This window comes from Homo sapiens, chromosome 7, assembly GCF_000001405.40.
Source record: "Homo sapiens chromosome 7, GRCh38.p14 Primary Assembly".
Classification (NCBI taxonomy): Eukaryota; Metazoa; Chordata; class Mammalia; order Primates; family Hominidae; genus Homo; species Homo sapiens.
Window position 1 is genome coordinate 116764681 of NC_000007.14, and position 19854 is coordinate 116784534.

Consider the following 19854-nt stretch of genomic DNA (forward strand, 5'->3'; position numbering starts at 1 on the left):
AACATAATTTGGCATCATCCTCGGCCTGTCAATGGTATTCCCAACATGGCGAAAGGGTCTTCTAGAGACTGGCAAAAAACACTTTATTTTCTTGCCTATATATGGAATAACTCTTTCTCTAACAAGTGTATAGCACCTGCCACGTGACAGAATAGTAATCTAGTGGGAGCAGTGGCAATTCAGGGAGATTATTTTAGTATCATGGTTCAATATTTTTTCATACTTCATTTTTCTTATGTATGAGAGGAAAGCAAAGGCATAAGAGAATATTTGTTGTGTCAGCAATCTAACTCTTTATCAATACGTTAAGTTGATCACATTAAAACTTCTACCTCTCAGCCAGGCACGGTAGCTCATACCTGTAATCCCAGCACTTTGGGAGGCCAAGGCGGGTGAATCACTTGAGATCAGGAGTTCAAGACCAGCCTGGCCAAAATGGTGAAACCCCATCTCCACTAAAAATACAAAAATTAGCTGGGCATGGTGGTGGGTGCCTGTAATCCCAGCTACTCAGGAGGCTGAGGGACGGAGGTGACCTGAGTCCTGAAGGCGGAGGTTGCAGTGAGCCAAGATGGCACCACTGCACTCCAGCCTGGGAGACAGAGCAAAAAAAAAAAAAAAAAAAAAACCACGTACTTCATCAATGAAAGTGTTCTGGAGAGAATCATGTGTTTAGAATGAGATATGCTCTTTATTGCCAGGAAGATTTCATGCTCCTCATGCAGCCATGCATGCAAGAGTTCCTAGGGTGAAAAGAGATTGTGATCATTCCCTGCCCTAGTTGTGAGAGTCCCTCAATTCATAGTAAGCCCAGTGACTACACCATGGGCAAAAGGGCGAGCCAGGTTTGGATGAGGGAACACAATAGGGGTCAAGCATAAGTCACCCCTCAGAATGAATCCTAAGCCCCATGGATGGAGAAGGAAGTTTTTGGCCAAGGCTTCAAGTCCCCCAAGAGCAGTCGTAGACAGTGGTCATCAAAAGTAGGTACCTCTTTGTGGGTATACATGACTCCCCAAATGCCTCTATCAACAACAGCTCATGTTTGTATGGAATTTTACAGTTGACACTGTACTTTGGCATATTTTATTTCATTTGAGTCTCATGTGGACCCATGAGGTTGGGAGGTCAGTGATGATTATCCCCATTTATAGATAGGTAAACAAAGGTTTAGGAAGATTAGCTGATTTGTCTTGGGTCACCCAGGAAGCAAAGAGCAGAACTGGGGCTCACACTCAGGCTTCTTGATTCCAAATTTGGTCTTCTGTCACTGCATACACTAAATTACAGTATTTCTTATATTAACTCTCATTTAATGTATACTAAAATACCATTATAGAGACACTTTTCTATCATATGCTATTTATATATCTATGCAGTTCTTTAGAGGGAATAGCTCTTAACTTTTTATAAATATCTAAAAATTTATTCTGTTTAAAGAAACTCTGTATTTCTCCCTGAGTGTCTTATTTCTGACTTTTTATGCATGAGCATATCTTATGAAAAGTAGAAAAGTATTCTGTTTCATGCTGGAACAAGGACTGCCTGACATTGCCTTGGGGGTTTATCTTATTCTGCAGCATATAGGAACATATGAGAATAAAGATGCTTCAAATGTTCAATCTGGAGAAGTCAGGTCAAACAGGAAAAAGAAGCACAGGAAGATGAGCCAGGGCAGGGAGCGGGGACTTGGTCTATGACACTGTCATCACAGGAACAAATGCTGAGAGCTCAGGAGGAGGTGAAGCATCAGTGTGTGGGCATTGGAAGGATCAAAAAGGAAGCATGGTTTTGAACCATCCTAATCCACCTGCTGCCCAGAGCCAGCCAGATGTTGTCCTTCTCCCTTTGAATAATTTATGTGCAACTCTACCCCTCAATCTCAGTCAAAACCACCATGAACTCAGTTCTGAGTCCAGACAGGATAAAAGTGAAGGGTTCTTTTTTCAGAGGTTATTTGGCCCAGTGTCGAAACCTGTTCTTATTAATGGTGCTCAACGCTTACTCTCAAACTAGTATTTCTTTGTGCTGCCCAGGTTAATGGGCATTCTGCAAAATATATATATATTCTTTTTCCAGGGCAGTTTCATAGTATCTAATAATAAAGATAGTAAAAAATATATTCCTGTGGTTTCATGGTACCTAGTAGTAAAGGTCCCCAACTAGCCAGCAAAGCCACCAGTTTAATTTTGGTTTGCCCAGCTTTTCCCAAATGGCCAGGGAAGTTTTCCCCAAAATGCCTATTAACATCTGGTGGAACTCAGTTCTGAAGCTGTCTGTGAGGTTCGTTGCTTGGTTCCTAAGTTGAGGGACTTGTGTCCTCTATGTGAAGTGTAAATCTCACCCCCTCACCACCACCTCACTAATTTCCTACTGCTGATCTCCCTGGACTTTGGACCCTCAGCCTGGCTGAGTCCTGCTGCCAAACTGTACTGACTTGCCCAGACCCAGCCTGTGGCCACCTGGGTGTATGAAAACTTGAAGGACCCTCCTCTCATAGTGTTATTTTTCAGATCCTACCCACTTCCACTCCCATCTGCTCGGTTCTGTAACCATCTCAGACATGAGTCCCCGGGTGTGAATACTCAATAGAAACATGTCACACCTGGCCAGGGTTGGAGAGGAAAGAGACATGGTACATCCTGATATAGCACATTGGGAGTAATTAGTTTTCATTTTTGAAATGGATCCATTTTGACATTGCAGTGAGAGGAAGAAATCCTTACTCATCTTTATATTCTCAGTGACTAGAACTGTGTCTAACACACAGTAGACGGTAAGTAGATTTTGTGTCAAATGGAATTTGATTTGCTTCATGATCTAGCCCCTTTCTGGATAATAGTTCTCCATATGTAAAGCAGAAATGACAATAATACCTACTTCAGGGGGAGTATCTTTGCAGGATAATATGAGATGATTATAACTAAATTGCTCTATGTCTGTTGGAGATTAAAGATCAGAAAGCTCTCTCTCTTTTGTTGCTTTATTTTTAAACCCACATATTACCATTTTAGTGACTGAAATCACCCTGAAGCAGTTGAATGACTTTTATTTAATAATAGTTAATATTCAATAATAAATATTAATATAATTAATAGTAAAATTTCTAAATATAAGTTTTTTAGCATCTCAATAAAGCTATGTTTACTTTCTTTTATTTTAAATGACAAAAATTAGCCTATACCTTTTAAAATTTTTCCTTTTTTGGGCCCCATTGTTATATAGAAGTGAGCTACCAGTATCACTTTTGTAATATCTGGGACTTTACGCTTCTAATATGCATATATATATATATGTGTGTGTGTGTGTGTGTGTGTGTGTGTGTGTATACATATGTGTGTGTGTGTATATATATATATATATAACTGATAGTAGTTGCTTATATAAGTCACTACTTACCATGTGTCCTTTGGTATCTACATATAAAATGAGACACAGTGGATGTGTGATCTGTTTTTGTTTTAGAGAAGCCTTTATGCAACAACCAGGGAGATCCTAAGCCTGAAACCATAAGTATTGGAAACACAAATGTTGTACATTCATCCCTTCCCCCAACCTTAGTTATTATCTAAGCAAGCAAGACACATTTTAGACCTTTTCTCATAAATCAAATCCTACAGCTCTTTAATCTCTTTTCTTTGTCATTCCCTGAATTCCCTCCAATATGTGGATAAGGGTTTTATCCCCCTTCAGACCTAGCCAACAAGTTGTCGTTTGAAGCCCTAAAGTCATCTCTTAGATTGCTGAGCTTCTGTGTTGTGTTGGCCTGTGTGGCTGACCTGGTTCAATGGACTACACATACTGCTTCTAGAAGTATCATAAGGATAGGGTTTGTCTATATCCATTTTATCTGAAACTCCAACATCAGGTTATAAAGAAGTATTTTCTTCCCACTTCTTTTCCTAGAATAATAACTGCCTGACCAATCAATCTATTGAGATCCGTATGAGACCATGTATGTGAATGGAGTTTGCCGAGTATTAAAGATTATATAAAACAAAGGAGCAGCATTTTAGCTATTATGGGCTGCTCTTTGTTAGTAAGAAGAATAGTAATATGCTTTGATATATGTCACCTCAAAATAATAGCTTGCTCAATAAATAACTGTACTCATTAAGTCTTGATATGAGAAATTATACCTAGGTTTGCACTTCTTTCGCAAGGCTAATTATTGGTTTCTCAAACAAAACGTTGATATTTTTAAAATGCCTGATGGTAACTTCAGTTAACTAAATATGCCACATTAACTAATTTTTAAAAAATTTTTGTGTAACTATGTAATTGTTCAAAATAATGGAATTGTGCTCTCAAATTATAATAGTCATACAGCATCTCACATAAATTTCTTTTAAAATGAATTCACTTATGTATAGGACTCAAGTGTGCAAGAAGGATGAAAGTAAACTACCCAACTCAAACAAAAAAAGAATGTATTAATATTAACATAACATAATACAGTGTTAATACATTAACAACTATTTAACATCAGATCTCTGGAGATGAGACCCGGACATCAGTATTTTTTAAAGTTTTCACGGTGATTCCAAAAGCAAAGTCAAGGCTGAGAATCTCTGCATTGGGCAGTGTTAGATAGTGCAACAACTGAATCTCTACATTGCGTCTTTTTTGCCAAACATTGATACCCCCTGAGGACAATGGTGAGGTGATGATAGGTAAGACATCATTCCACATTTAAGGATGTGAAGCAAGAACCTCTTTCCTTTTCTTTAAGGTCCAATTTGATGCAAAAGCTATATGCTATAATTCCTAACTAACACATGCCCTGAAATGGTCATGCTCCCCTTTAGCCATCCCAATTCCCATGAAAATTAGTATCATAGAATCGTGTGCCTTGGCAAACAACATGGCCTGTGTTTGCAGTATATTTATATTCCTTTGCCATTGTTAGCATTCCTGCAGAACTGTGAAGTGTTAACAACCTTTTTTTTTTTTTTTCCTTTCAGGGAAATGATATTGACCCTGAAGCAGTTAAAGGTGAAGTGTTAAAAGTTGGAAATAAGAGCTGTGAGAATATACACTTACATTCTGAAGCCGTTTTATGCACGGTCCCCAATGACCTGCTGAAATTGAACAGCGAGCTAAATATAGAGGTGGGATTCCTGCATTCCTCTCATGATGTAAATAAGGAAGCCAGTGTAATTATGTTATTCTCAGGCTTAAAATAAATCATTAAAGCTCATTTATGTGTGGGTTTTGGCTCATCAACTCAGCCTGCATTCCTAGTTGTTATTTTAGAAATAGTGAGCTTTTTGCCACATTGTCTCCTTCCCCAAGCCTGGGAGGTAGATCTCAAAAGTTCTTTCTACCCACACTGCTTCTCCATCACGCCACACTCTTCCCAAAATTTGCTGTAATTCTCAGAAGAAATAAGGATGCATCCAAGAGTGTCCTTCTACTGCCTCCCACCACCCCAGGAGGCCAGAGCCAGTGTTCCACTGCCAACCACTGTGATCACTAATGCATAGAGTCCCATAAATAAAGGAAGATGCATGCATCAAACAAAGTAAAATAAAGATTAAACTACTTTACAGTAACTTTTTTCGTGTAGACAACTGAATCAAACAAGCTAGAACCAAAGCGAGTGATCTTTTTCATTCTTTTTTTAGCAGCTTTATTGTGATGTAATTCACATACCATGCAATTCACCCATTGAAAGTGCACAGTTCAATGGGTTTCAGTATATTATATTGTCAATTTCTTTGAATTGAGGTAAAATATACATAATGTAATGTTTGCCATTTTGACCATTTTTAAATGTACAATTAAGTTGCATTAATTTCATTCACAGTGTTGTATAACCATCAGCATTACCTAATTCCAGAACTTTTTCGTCACCCCAAACAGATACTCTATAACCAATAAGCAGCAGCTCCACATACCCTTCTCTCCCCCGGCTCCTGATAACTTCCAATCTACTCTTTCTCTCTAGAATTTGCCTATTCTAGATATTTCATGTGAGTGGAATCATACAATATTTGTCTTTTTATGTGTGGCCTATTTTACTTAACATAATGTTTATCCACGTGGATGAACATAAGATTCATCCACGTTGTAGCCTGTGTCGGTACTTCATTCCTTTTTGTGGATGAATAATATTCCATTGTATATATCCCACATTTATCCAAGAGTAAGTGATTTTTAAAGGGTTCCTGAAGTCTTCTGAAGTTATAAAATGGAAAAACACACAAAAATTAGAAAATCAAAGGCTGAATCATGAGATCAGAGTTGGAATTTCAGAAGGACCATAAATCCTAAAAATCATAAAATGTTAGAGCCAGAAGGGACTTCAAAGATTTCTGCTGTGTATCAAAACTGAAGTAAAAATATTCTGAGACTTTATTGTTCCATCATAACAGTACAATTATTTACCTCTTATGGGAAGTCTTCTCTGCCCTCCACCCCACCGTCCAGGACAGAATTAATGTCCCATTGTCTCTGTTGATTACTGTTTAGTCATACTTCTATGGTACATACCACACTGTACTGGAATCATTTATTTATATGTCTGTCTCCCCTTCTATACTTCAGTTCCTGTTTTTTGTACATCTTTTTATCCCTAATACCTAGTTACAAATACAAACAGCTAAGTACCACATAAGTACTTAAGGGATCAGTGTCCCCTAATTATTTGAACACTGGAGCATAATTGAGGAATCTCTTATTATCCTGAAGGCAGTTATGCCATTTGTAGAATGGTAATAACCAGTTGGTATTTGGGACCCAAAGTGCTACAACCTGTGTAGTACAAATATCTATCATGGCTAAATGCTGACTTTTCTTTATTTGTCATTTTTAGTGGAAGCAAGCAATTTCTTCAACCGTCCTTGGAAAAGTAATAGTTCAACCAGATCAGAATTTCACAGGATTGATTGCTGGTGTTGTCTCAATATCAACAGCACTGTTATTACTACTTGGGTTTTTCCTGTGGCTGAAAAAGAGAAAGCAAATTAAAGGTGCATTTTTGTTACTGTTCATTTTTAGAAGTTACCTTAAGAACACAGTCATTACAGTTTAAGATTGTCGTCGATTCTTGTGTGCTGTCTTATATGTAGTCCATAAAACCCATGAGTTCTGGGCACTGGGTCAAAGTCTCCTGGGGCCCATGATAGCCGTCTTTAACAAGCTCTTTCTTTCTCTCTGTTTTAAGATCTGGGCAGTGAATTAGTTCGCTACGATGCAAGAGTACACACTCCTCATTTGGATAGGCTTGTAAGTGCCCGAAGTGTAAGCCCAACTACAGAAATGGTTTCAAATGAATCTGTAGACTACCGAGCTACTTTTCCAGAAGGTATATTTCAGTTTATTGTTCTGAGAAATACCTATACATATACCTCAGTGGGTTGTGACATTGTTGTTTATTTTTGGTTTTGCATTTATATTTTTATAAAAACCTAAAGGAAGTATTTACCTCTGCCAAGTAAGTATTTGACACAAAATTACATGGCTCTTAATTTTAAAAGAACCCATGTATATATTACATTATGATTTTAGAGTCCATAAGCTCTCATTTCACAAAAAGGTTAATTTGAGCAAAAGTAATTTGTTTATCATCTAAGTGCAATAGTAAGAAATTGCGAAGCTCTCTTTTACAATCCAGGAAGAGTTAAGTTACAAAATATACTTATTTAAATGTAAGTTGGAACTGCTACATTTTTTACCTGTTGAAGCCCAAACATTGAAATTATACTGTTAGTAATTCTTCGAAGTGTTTTCAATGAACTGTTAGTACACAGCCTTTTTCCCACCATATTCTAGGACTTGAATGTATTTTGAGACTTAGCCAAGGAAAACCTTCAATTATGCCATGAAAAAAAGGAGGGGTCAATATCATCAGCTTTGTAAAACACTATGCCTAGTAATGTTCAGGTTAATCAGAGTTTTCATGTTGTTTTATTTAAATCTCCTGGTAAAAGCAAAAGGTCTGTATTGTATCAGCTCCATTATCTTTAGAAGTTACAGGATGTGAGTCAAGTACAAGCATTTCCTTGGTTGAATATTTACCATTGGACAAATAAAATGAGTCACAGATCATTGAGGATACTGGAAAAGTTAGAAGTTGCTCATCCAAACAAGTTCAAGAGCAATGAAGCACTTAACATTTTAACATTTTCAACACTTACTACCTCTTATGTTTTGAAGTTTATGTTATTTCTATGGAGATACACATAGTAAACATTGTCTTTGCCCTGATTCCATTCACCTTTAAAAATCCATTCGTTTAACCGTGTGGAAAAATCAAACCTAGTTTATTGTTTTGAAATTTAGATCTATTTAGTATTTTATGTGCACATTTAGTGCATCTATTTAGTATTTTATATGCACATTTCATAGTTCTAATCTGAGATCATTAAAATTTACAAATTTTCTTTGAAAAAAAAACTTACCTAATCTTCTTTGAACCTCCTTACTCACCAAAGCTCTGTCATCATTGCTAAGAAGGTTGAGTTTCACACTCTTTTCTCCATTGAGCCTGCTCCTTGGAGACATGAAAAGAAAACAGGTAAAAGAGGGTCATTTAGAGAGAATGAGAAAATAGGTGCACAGCCAAAACCTAATGAAGAGGCAACTGCAGAGCTTTCCTCTCTACATCTGGTGGGGACAGCATTCTCATCAGACTTTTTCACGGAGACCTAGAGTGCTATGTGGTGTGACATCAGGGTGGCACACTGATGGTTTCAATTGGTTTCTGCACATGTTGGAATTTAGCTGAAGAGTCACGTTTTCATGCCAAAGGGCTTTTATCCATGTCTCACCAAGGATTTCCCTCAATCTGTGCACCCTTAAGCATTTAGAGCCCTGATCTCCAGATGCAAAGGCTTTAGGAAGTGAGAATGAAAGACCTGAGTTTAGAGAGGCTGATTGGCATTCCCAATCCCCTGGGGAAGGTTTAGAGACCCTGACTCCTTGGAATTAAGGGAGCAAGTACCCAGCTAGGCTCCTTCCTTCCTCACTCACCCAACATTTCAGGTACTTCACTGATGTTCCACATCCTTCTTTAAAGGTTGCTCTTGTCTTTTTTCTGGCTAGTGTCTACTATAACTGTAATTGATGCCCAACGCTTTTCTGGAACCACTTTTGGCCAAGTTCATTTATTATTAATCAAACTGTCCACTGTAGAAAATACTAAAAATGCTCAAGTGGGATTAGGAATAGTCAAGGTACTAACAGCATTCTTTTTATGCCCTTCTCTCAGATTCTGATTCTCCTGCTTATTTGCAAACAAATGATACATTTTGGTGCTAATGAGGAACCCCCACATAACCTTCTCCCTGTGTTACATACTAATACATTTCAATACTATGCCTAGTTTATCTTCATGTCAGTTGCTGTGGCTATGATGCCCCCTCCTTGATATGTGTGAATTCCCAGTGGAAAGAGAAAGGGAAAGTGGAAATGCCCTATTTGGCATTAAGAAATTGACTATCAGCACCATTTCTTCCCCTGAAATAAAAAAAAAAATTCTCCTTGCAAAAGGGAACTTTGCCTGAGGTTCTTACAGAGCTTTGGTTATAAAGATCAACTTATAAAGAATGCTTACCCCTTTCATAGTGTCCTTAACTAAACAACAAGGATGGTCCACTAACCGAGATCTAACCTGCCTTCTCTAAACAACAGTAACACTAAATCCAGTGCCATCACTGCACAGTGGAGAATTTACCACTAATGTGAAAAGCTTTCAGTTTTGGGAATATAGCCATTATTTATTTCTAATCATATGTGTATTTTTCCCTTGGCCAGGAATCCATAGGTTTTGCACAATAGTAATTAATTCCATTAACAAATAGTAGTGTCTCAAAAGGCATCTTTTTCATTTTCTTATATTTGAGCTGGATTTTTGTGAGACGAGGCAATTGCTCAACTACCTTTGCTGCTACCACTGCTTCCATTCTTAAGGACATAGTATATTCAAAAATAAACCATAAGCATGGCTTTTTGCTATTGATAAAGAGAGAAATGTCTAAGGAAATGAGGGTAAAAAGCTTTCAAAATTAATACTTAGTCTACTTAAATGAAAATCTGTAAACATCTAATGAAATGCTTGTATATATAACTTAGTATCTTTTCCCAATTTATTATCATTTTTATCAAACTAATTCCATTATAAAAGCTCTTCCTGTTTCAGTCCCCATTAAATGAGGTTTTACTGTTGTTCTTTAATAATTTTCCTTCATCTTACAGATCAGTTTCCTAATTCATCTCAGAACGGTTCATGCCGACAAGTGCAGTATCCTCTGACAGACATGTCCCCCATCCTAACTAGTGGGGACTCTGATATATCCAGTCCATTACTGCAAAATACTGTCCACATTGACCTCAGTGCTCTAAATCCAGAGCTGGTCCAGGCAGTGCAGCATGTAGTGATTGGGCCCAGTAGCCTGATTGTGCATTTCAATGAAGTCATAGGAAGAGGTAAGTATTTCCACTCAGCTTTTTGTTAAATACGATTTTCCAGTAAGCATTTTATCTTTGGCCTTTGCAGATTAGGAACTTAGACAATGGTGAAAGCAACTGACAGAGCAGTGATAACAAGTGTACTTGATTTCTGTTCTATAGAAATGTAGCCCTGTAAATCATATCCGTGGGGATTTGCCCTTGTGCATGGAAGCAATTGGATAATCCCCCAAATATATTAGAACTAAATCACAATTCGTCCTCGTCCTGTGTGTACTAGCAATTATAGTTTCTTCAAAGGTGCCATTTACTTTCTTCTAAAACTCAGGGCCAGGCGCAGTGGCTCACACGTGTAATCCCAGCACTTTGGGAGGCCGAGGCAGGTGGATCACCTGAGGTCAGGAGTTCAAAACCATCCTGGCCAACATGGCAAAACCCCGTCTCTACTAAAAAAATACAAAAATTAGCCAGGCGTGGTGGCGGGTGCCTTTAATCCCAACTACTGGGGAGGCTGAAGCAAGGAGAATTGCTTGAACCCAGGAGGTGGAAGTTGCAGTGAGCCAAGGTTGTGCCACAGCACTCCAGCCTGGGCAGCAGAGCGAGACTCCATGTCAAAAAAATAAATACTTATAAATAAATAAATATCACTCCTTTAATTTTGAGTATTTTTATTCAATCTCTCTCCAGTCTTTCTTTACCCTGAGAACAGTGACAAACTCTATGAAGCCTGGTTTATAGCAGTTTGTACACTGCTGGACAGCATCAGAAGACAGAGAATTTATAGCATTCTCCTGATCTAAAGCAACATATATCATCTCTACAATGCACTCCAATTTCTTTATACAAAGATAAATGAATATTTGTAATAAGCTAGCCAAAGCAGCAATAACAGCTAGCATAAACAGTATTTGTGGAAATATTTAGCAGGAAAAGAAACCAATCAAAAACCGGGAAATGAACTTCATTCTTCTTGTTGTTTTTTTTTTTCTAAAAAGCTTTTACCCTTAATACTAAATGGCCTCTGATCCCTTTTATTCTATATGTGCTGCAAGAGGTTGTACAGGCATCTGCCAGTGTGATACAAGAGAAGCTGATGGCGTGATTTCCCTTATATGAACACAAGGCCTTCTCACTTTCCTGTGGTAGCATCCACACATTCTTCTGTCAAACACCCCAGAGCGTAATCCTTTGTGTGCTCCTTCTTCCCCAAGAGTGGCTTCACTGTTAACAAACATCTTTCCATTTCTCTTCAGAGTAATATATAGTTCTGTCATAGGCCTATAAATCCCAGTAATTGCATCAATTTTAGAGTGTGTGGACTCACTAATTGTGTTCTAATTCTACACATTTGGAAAACTAGAATTTTTTATCATGAAAGGTACTAAAATGGCAATTATTTCTCTTTTGAAGTTATAATCATTAACAGCTCTATAAATATTAGCTACTATGTATTTATATGTTTTTCTGCAGGAGAATAGGAGCACTCAAAAGCATAAGTTTTATTTTATTCTTCTTTGCATTAGTAGAGGGCAGCCTAATGCCTGACACTCACATACTAGGCACTCATGGTGTCTTGGCCAGCTGGATGAATTAATTAGTGAATGACTTACACAGCTATCAGACATTTGGCACCTCTGGGGGAAATTACTGCCACTGGATAAAAGGCTACCATTGGGAAAATGATGTGGTTAAAGCCAGAGAGAACTGGATGAAGTGAGTCAGGGTGAATTTGCTTCATCTGGGCAACTGCCTTTCAGTTTCTGCCAACCTGGATTACGTATTAACCAGTGACTAATGGGGAAATCCTTATTCTATAATACTAATCCTATTTTTAATGGTAACATTTTTATTTCATTTCAGCTTATTAGAATATAGAGAACTTATTTTATTATAGTTCTTCATGTGGGTTAACTTTATTTTCATATTTTAAAATACTATGTCATCCTTTAAAAAAATTTATTTGATGAGGCCGATGTTACTCACCTTTTCAGTGGTTCCACTGTGGTTGAATATTTTATTAGGTTAGGCTTTAATATGAGTCATATCATCTACAACTTATTCATGAATTAAATAATCACATTGCTTATATCCTTGGGTGAAATGTGTTGCATCTACATATATATTTACAAACACACCTACGTACCTATAGTGGTATTGTTAAAAGTATTTTTTAAATGTACTCTTTTGCTGTATAGAAAGAAGAAAGAATAAAATGAAGCTCATAAAGGGTTTGATAAATAATTATTTCATAATTAAATGTTACGCAGTGCTAACCAAGTTCTTTCTTTTGCACAGGGCATTTTGGTTGTGTATATCATGGGACTTTGTTGGACAATGATGGCAAGAAAATTCACTGTGCTGTGAAATCCTTGAACAGTAAGTGGCATTTTATTTAACCATGGAGTATACTTTTGTGGTTTGCAACCTAATAAATAGCTTATAATAAAACGTTGATTTACACTTTCCCCTTGTGGAAAAATCAGCTACCACTGAAATTATGGGCCTAATCCTGAAAATTTGTTTTGTTCTAGACTTTTATTGAACTACTTCCCCTGAAATGATCCCTCAGAGCCCTCATTAGTAAGGGGGTAGGAGAAATGAGGTTCTTGGATGAACTGAGTATCATTTAACTATAACTATGTTTGGTTTATAATATTTGTTTTGCAAGTGACATTTCTGGAAACTATTGGAAGCATGTTGGCACCTACAGTAGTAATGACTCATTTTACCCAGAGGCATTACTATAATTATTTTTTAACCACAACTTCCATTAAAAAGATAAAAAATGAAATAAGACAAACAGGAGAAAACTACGCTGGCCAAAAATTGAAAAATCATAAGTATGGTAATACCTCATTTATCCACATTTTTGGAGAGTGAGGCATTCCACATACATGAACTTCCTAAATAAATGAAACCTACCCCTTTTTAATGCTGGAACATTACTTAAAATTTTAGCTGTTATTGAGAAAATCTTTTTAAGATGAAATGCATACTCTGTTTAAGGGAATGCTTCCAAATACAAACTAAGTCTTTATTGGTGACCCCAAGCCATAATTACAGCCATAAATTACTATATTACACAAACAGTGTACTCCACATACATAGTGTTCCTGGCTCCGCCTGTGTTGACAGGTCTCACATGCTTGCGTTTTCTACTCCCATTTCTCATTTTCTGCTTGCAAATTGCAGCAGCCTGAAAAATGTTAACCAGCTCTACTACAAACTTTATATGGGACTTAATAAGCTTTAAGTGCACAAATGAAAGATTTTCCTGCAAGATACTTTACTGTCACAATTATTTCAGTCTTTTTAAAATATAAATCAACATGCTAAGTAGTGTTCTACATGGTTAATTTTGTTGGAAGTCTGACCATGAGGGAAATAAATGGACAGTCTTTATGAAACCTAAGTATAACCTTTGCACTAAGTTTATAGGAGACAAACTGGTGGCTGGTTGGACTCTATCTTGCAAAAGTGGGCATAGGTGGTGACTGGAAGGCACAGTGCACGGTGGCATCATTCACTCAGATGTGATGTAAAAAGAACACTCTGCAGTCAAACCCTCAGGACAAGATGCTAACTGTGTGGTTTACCATTTCATTGCTCTTCCTATCTAAATTTGACAAAAGTATTCACTGTTCCATAATGAAGTTAATGTCTCCACCACTGGATTTCTCAGGAATCACTGACATAGGAGAAGTTTCCCAATTTCTGACCGAGGGAATCATCATGAAAGATTTTAGTCATCCCAATGTCCTCTCGCTCCTGGGAATCTGCCTGCGAAGTGAAGGGTCTCCGCTGGTGGTCCTACCATACATGAAACATGGAGATCTTCGAAATTTCATTCGAAATGAGACTCATGTAAGTTGACTGCCAAGCTTACTAACTGGCAAACTAGCTGTAAGCCAGCCATCCCTTCAAAATAGGCCTGCTCTGAGTCTTTAAAAAGCTAGTAGCCAAAGATGCACATTTAAAATGTTAGCATCATTCAAATGCACCTCAAAGTCTTCTATCCTGGTGGGAAATAGTGACACCTGGAAGGGTTTCCTGGAGCAATGATTCTTACTTGCTCTGCAAGCAACCTTGCTCTACCTTCCCTCTGATAGGGACATTTAGTCATCTTTGCATGTCTACTATGTGCCAGAAACTGTGCACAGCACAGGAGAAGTGGAAGCAGAGCAAGCCTCAGCCCATATGGAATGTTAACTCTACAAGGCATTGAAAAATTAACTCCAGATGCGTTCCTTGCTGTTCCTTGTCCTTGCCATCCACTCTCACACCTCAGGAACTTTGCACTTGTGCTCCCTCAGCCTGGAACACTCTCCCCGCAAATAGCCACGTATCTCACTTCCTCATCTTCTTCAGCTTTTGGCCGTAATGCCATCTTCAACATAAGCCTTCCCTAATCTGTTTAAAATTGCAACTGACCACCCACCCTCATGGCTTCAGACTCCTCTTCCCTGCTCTATTTTCCCCCATCACACTTAACTGTCATCTGATACATGCATGAAGCTGCCTGAAGCTGCCCAATACTATGGCCATGAGCCACATGTAAAAGGAGGCTAGTTCGAACTGAAATGTGCTGTACGGTGTAGAATACATCCCAGATTCTGAATACTTAGTATTAAAAAAAAAAGAAGGTGAAATATCTCACTAGTAGTTGTTTATATTGATTACATGCTGAAATATTTTGGATTTTGGGGGTTGAAAAATACATTGTGAAAATTAATTTCACCTGTTTCTTTTTACTTTTGAGTATGGCTACTAGAAAATTTTATATTACATGTGTGTCTTGCTTTATATTTCTATTGAATAGCACTGTAGTAGATAATAAACAAATAAACAATAGCTATATAGATGTATATGTATGCATATATATGTACACACACCCTCATCCCATTAGAATGGAAGCTCATGAGGGTAGGATTTTTGTGTATTTTGTTCACTGCTGTGGCTCCAACACCTAAAACAGTGTTTAGCACATAGACTCGCAGTAAATAATTGTTGAATGAATCAGCTAAGGGTTACAAAAAAAGGTTCTTAGCCTCTTGCAAGTGGTAGATTTTTTTCTTGACATTTATGCCAGGACCTAAAAGTCACCAGGCCAGGACCAGGGAGGGTGGGAATAAGAATCTCAAGAACTGAATTCATAGAAGGCCTCAAGCTCCGTCTCGGTTCCTGCTCTCCAAGTCTCTGTGGGAGGTAATGAAGTTGATCAAAAGCAACTTTATAAATATGGGGTCAAATTATCAGAGAAAATAAGCTCTAGGAGAGTAATGAGATATTACTCAGCCAAAAGAATAAAACATTCCCTGGCAGTGAACTTTTGCAGATAAGGCGAATTGACCTTACAAAGCACACAGCTGCCCTGACAGACCCCACTTTCCCACTTCAACTTTTGTTATTACCCTGATGGATTAATGTGGCTGGAGGTGCTACCTTCTCTAGGGTACTGTTACCCCAGGATTAAAGCATGATAGAGATTTCCTGTTATCCAGAACGGAATAGTGCCATGGCCTTTTTTAATCCAAGGAGCTGATACTGAGAGCAACCACAAACCCAGATGTGTCTTAAAGAGAAACCTAAAACCAGGAACTGGCCTTTCTCTATGCTGTGTGCATTGAGTGGGGCTACAGCCCTTTTGCAGGGTCCCCACTGACTACATCTTGCACTGACAAACTCCTCAGTGACTGTTGAAGGGGAATACCCCATTCCTGATTGCCAGCCAGTGACATCACCAGACTTGACAGCTGAGTGGTTTGGGGTGATTTCTTTCTGAGCCTCCTCTATTCACTGTGCTTCTGATGTTCTAACATCTTGGGCCTTACTAACCCTGGAGGAACTGTCCCTCCCAAGGCTAGCTAATTCCTGCAAATAGTAAACAGCTTGCCTTCAAAGCATACCTGTCATGTGCAAACCAACCAATCCAGAGCCCTTATCTAACCTCCTCCTTTATCAGGCTCTTACACTTTGGGCTACTATCCACCTGCCCTAATCACCCCAGGGCCCAGTTCCAGACAACTAGAACTATCCTCGGAGCCTGCTGAAATACTCCAGATTGGCCAGCTCCAAACCTGCTTACCCTGCCTTACCAGTTTCTTCCCAGGGAAACTGCAATGAAGGCTCTTGCTCATGTTTTTCCCCTCTCTCTCTCTGCCTCTAGAGCCCAGGGCTTCCCCCATGTGACCCTGCATGACAGGGTGTGCCTCCTCCTCTTGCAAACTGTGAATAGCAAACTATCTTTTCAATGGCAGTTGTCTCCTGTTCTGTTGGCCTCATCATACCTGGAAAATAATAAAACTACATTTTAAAACACCTCCATTTTCCCATCTGGAAAATGGAGCCTGTAACACCTGCCTGACAGAAGTGTAGAAGTAGCTGTAATTTATGAAAACAATTAGCCTGGTGTGTTGCATACAATAAATACTTAACAAATGGTTGATCTGTCAATGGGGCACACTTTTTGTTGTTGTTGTTTTGTTTTTTGTTTTTGGAGACAAGGTCTCTGTCACCCAGGCTGGAGTGCAGTGGCACAGTCATAGTGCACTGCAGTATCCAACTCCTGGGCTCAAGCAATCCTCCTTCCTCAGACTCCTAAGCAGCTGGGACTATAGGTGCACACCACCACACCAGGCTAATTTTTTTGTGGGCGGTGGATGGGAGTAAAGACAGGATCTCACTGTGTTGCCCAGGCTGATCTCAAACTCCTGGCCTCAAGCCATCCTCTCGCCTTGGCCTCTCAAAGTTCTGGGATTACAGGCTTGAGCCATTAAGACCAAACTAATTTTTGAGACAAGATAATTTTTTATAAATAAATATTTCAGAATTCTAAGGTCAAAATTAGAACAGTAGATGCTTAGTTTATGCTTTTCTAACTCTCTTTGACTGCAGAATCCAACTGTAAAAGATCTTATTGGCTTTGGTCTTCAAGTAGCCAAAGGCATGAAATATCTTGCAAGCAAAAAGTTTGTCCACAGAGACTTGGCTGCAAGAAACTGTATGTAAGTATCAGAATCTCTGTGCCACAATCCAAATTAAGTGACAAGGAGGAATCTGTTTCCCACTGTTCAATGCTAGTTAAGCTGTTTTCTCTTCTTATGCAAAAGTCCTTTATTTCTGTTACAATCTTAAATCGATGTGTAAGCCCTGGGGATGTGGGTGGGACTTTCAGACTTTATCCAACAGAGAATTTAAAAGGATTCTCCATAGGGGGTCTTAAACAGCTGTTGTGTACTTTTGCTTTTCTCAGTCCTTCCCTCCAGTAGCTCTCAATGTTGTGGTTTCACACTGCATTAGTGTTGGGGAGGGAGAATTTGATCTTCAGCATTTGACAGTGAAAAGGAGAGGGCTGGGAACACAAATACCAACATATTGCAACTTCCCAAGAGTGGATTTGAAGCCAGCCTGCAGAAGCCCTACCAAAAATGGTATTTGGCAATGAATATACAAAGAACTTTATTTGTGTCTGGCTGCCTGGCTATGTAATACAACAGTCAACAGTTTGTAATTGAGTTCATGTTTTCCCTTGCATAGCACTGATTCATGACTTATGGTATGTGTGAATGAAAAAGGGTGTGCTATTAATTTCCTACCTTGGTTTTGGTCACTGTAACAACATAAAAGCCAGCTTAAACAGAGGATGCATAGCCCCAGATAGCGGAAATTGATTTTTGTTGAACTTCGCTGTTTTTCTTAGATGCTTTACTGTGTATCCTAGTTCTCTATTACCTCAGTGGTGGGATATATGAGTTTTGTGTGCTAACCTAGCTCATTTAAGAATGAAAAAGTAAAGTATCAGTCCCCTGTCATGCTCTCCCATAAAACTGAGTATCGCTAATCAGTTGACAAGCGAAGATTGGTGATTGCTTGGGTAGTTAATTAGCATACTTCATTTAGCAACCAAAGTAAACCCACAGGGGAGACAGCCTTACTACTGCAGATCTACATTAAAGCAAAAAGGACTTTCTTATGCCATACAATTCATGATCTCTTTCCTCAGCCTGTTGAATTGGCAATGTCAATGTCAAGCATTTTTATTCAAGAATTCTGTTGTAATTTAGTGTTAGTCAATAGAGGCCAGATGAAATACTTCCTTCAGAAGTTATGGATTTCAAATACTGAAGCCACTTGTTTAATCTGTAGATATTCAGCATCATTGTAAATTATTCTATTTCAGCCACGGGTAATAATTTTTGTCCTTTCTGTAGGCTGGATGAAAAATTCACAGTCAAGGTTGCTGATTTTGGTCTTGCCAGAGACATGTATGATAAAGAATACTATAGTGTACACAACAAAACAGGTGCAAAGCTGCCAGTGAAGTGGATGGCTTTGGAAAGTCTGCAAACTCAAAAGTTTACCACCAAGTCAGATGTGGTAATGTATTGGTTATCTCTGAGTTTCTCCTCTTTTACTTTCATATCCAACTTTTTTTGAAGTTTTATCACTACTTAATTTTTTAAAAAAATTCAACACCACCAATTCCAGTTTTCTTCATATGTAAAAATGGACTTGTCTGATACGTACACATTGTATATTTTCATAAATTCACTCATTTGTTCAAAAATATTTGTTGAGTGGGGCAACATACCAGCTCCTTAGGAAGCCCAGAGCTGAACCAGGCATGAACCCTGTCGGCCAAGAACTTTGGCTCAGAAGGGAAGAGATGAGATGGTCAACAATGACTGTGACACAGGTGGCCTGGAATGGGCCCTGATTCTCATAGCCCCAGGCGAGCAAGAATTCCACATCAAGAAATCTGGAAGCTGTAACTGAGGCAGTCTAGCAGTGAGGGCATGATCCCTGGGCCTAGCTAGTAAAGTGCCTTCCCTTATCTGCAAAGGCCATCCTTCTTGCGCAGAACAAGCTCTCAAAAGGCATGCACCTGAGTGCTGAGGCTGGGAGAAATACTCACCTGGGCAGCCAGATTCACCACATTCCCCTTCCACCATATGGAGAAGTGGCATTTGAATTGGGTTAAAGGACAGCAGGTTTGGAGTTGGGCAGCTGGGCAATGGAAATACCGATCCAGGTGTGGCAGAAGAGCAGGAAAGTATAAGCACCTGTAAAGTTATAAGGAAACAGTACTTAGTTATTTGGCAAGAACAGAACACAGAGAGGGAAGTTATGAGAATAAATGGAGAAAAATATACTTATACTAGGTCATAGAGTTCCTTGAAAACTGAACTAGAGAGTATGGAATTTATTCTCTGGTAATGTGGAAACAAAAAAGTAATCAGATTAGACTGCAATCTTTCATCATTGTATTAGTCCGTTCTCACACTGCTATAAAGAAATACTGAGCCTGGGTAACTTATAAAAAGAGATTTAATTGGCTCACAGTTCTGCAGACTCTACAGGAAGCATGGCTGGAGAGGCCTCAGGGAGCTTTTACCCATAGCAGAAGGCAAAATAGGAGCAGGCATTTTACATGGCAGGAGC

At 38.6% G+C, this 19854-nt stretch overlaps 1 protein-coding gene across 5 annotated transcripts in view, besides 6 other annotated features; it reads left to right on the plus strand.

The window, feature by feature from the left end:
• MET (MET proto-oncogene, receptor tyrosine kinase) overlaps positions 1-19854 on the plus strand; it is a 126182-nt gene that overhangs the window by 92485 nt on the left and 13843 nt on the right. For 4 of the 5 annotated variants that reach the window (XM_011516223.2, NM_001127500.3, NM_000245.4 and 1 more), the window contains 8 exons: positions 4965-5111; positions 6818-6974; positions 7169-7309; positions 10201-10431; positions 12709-12789; positions 14096-14277; positions 17308-17417; positions 18624-18789. In XM_011516223.2, coding sequence (XP_011514525.1) covers positions 4965-5111; positions 6818-6974; positions 7169-7309; positions 10201-10431; positions 12709-12789; positions 14096-14277; positions 17308-17417; positions 18624-18789 — 1215 coding nt within the window. Of the gene's footprint in view, positions 1-4964; positions 5201-6817; positions 6975-7168; positions 7310-10200; positions 10432-12708; positions 12790-14095; positions 14278-17307; positions 17418-18623; positions 18790-19854 lie in introns of those variants that run through there. The other variant, NM_001324401.3, reaches the window with a different exon arrangement.
• Positions 7590-8789: an enhancer, noted in NCBI's record as "MED14-independent group 3 enhancer chr7:116412324-116413523 (GRCh37/hg19 assembly coordinates)". NCBI's record gives its function as "activates an origin of replication core promoter dependent on BRD2, BRD4, P300/CBP and CDK7 cofactors, and independent of MED14, by STARR-seq in HCT116 cells {active_cell/tissue: HCT116}" and the evidence as "EXISTENCE:reporter gene assay evidence [ECO:0000049][PMID:35650434]".
• Positions 7944-8088: an enhancer, noted in NCBI's record as "145 bp enhancer 7 fragment used in the MPRA reporter construct; PK_construct_247". NCBI's record gives its function as "activates an SV40 promoter by MPRA in HepG2 cells {active_cell/tissue: HepG2}" and the evidence as "EXISTENCE:reporter gene assay evidence [ECO:0000049][PMID:23512712]".
• Positions 8010-8023: a transcriptional cis regulatory region, noted in NCBI's record as "HNF1 motif; enhancer activity is reduced when this motif is scrambled". NCBI's record gives its function as "necessary for full MPRA enhancer 7 activity {active_cell/tissue: HepG2}" and the evidence as "EXISTENCE:site-directed mutagenesis evidence [ECO:0005528][PMID:23512712]".
• Positions 11347-12546: an enhancer, noted in NCBI's record as "P300/CBP strongly-dependent group 1 enhancer chr7:116416081-116417280 (GRCh37/hg19 assembly coordinates)". NCBI's record gives its function as "activates an origin of replication core promoter dependent on BRD2, BRD4, P300/CBP, MED14 and CDK7 cofactors, with strong dependence on P300/CBP, by STARR-seq in HCT116 cells {active_cell/tissue: HCT116}" and the evidence as "EXISTENCE:reporter gene assay evidence [ECO:0000049][PMID:35650434]".
• Positions 16098-17026: an enhancer, noted in NCBI's record as "NANOG-H3K27ac-H3K4me1 hESC enhancer chr7:116420832-116421760 (GRCh37/hg19 assembly coordinates)". NCBI's record gives its function as "activates a minimal SCP1, AML or CMV promoter by ChIP-STARR-seq in naive H9 embryonic stem cells {active_cell/tissue: H9 hESC(naive)}" and the evidence as "EXISTENCE:reporter gene assay evidence [ECO:0000049][PMID:30033119]".
• Positions 17027-17954: an enhancer, noted in NCBI's record as "OCT4-NANOG-H3K27ac-H3K4me1 hESC enhancer chr7:116421761-116422688 (GRCh37/hg19 assembly coordinates)". NCBI's record gives its function as "activates a minimal SCP1, AML or CMV promoter by ChIP-STARR-seq in naive and primed H9 embryonic stem cells {active_cell/tissue: H9 hESC(naive and primed)}" and the evidence as "EXISTENCE:reporter gene assay evidence [ECO:0000049][PMID:30033119]".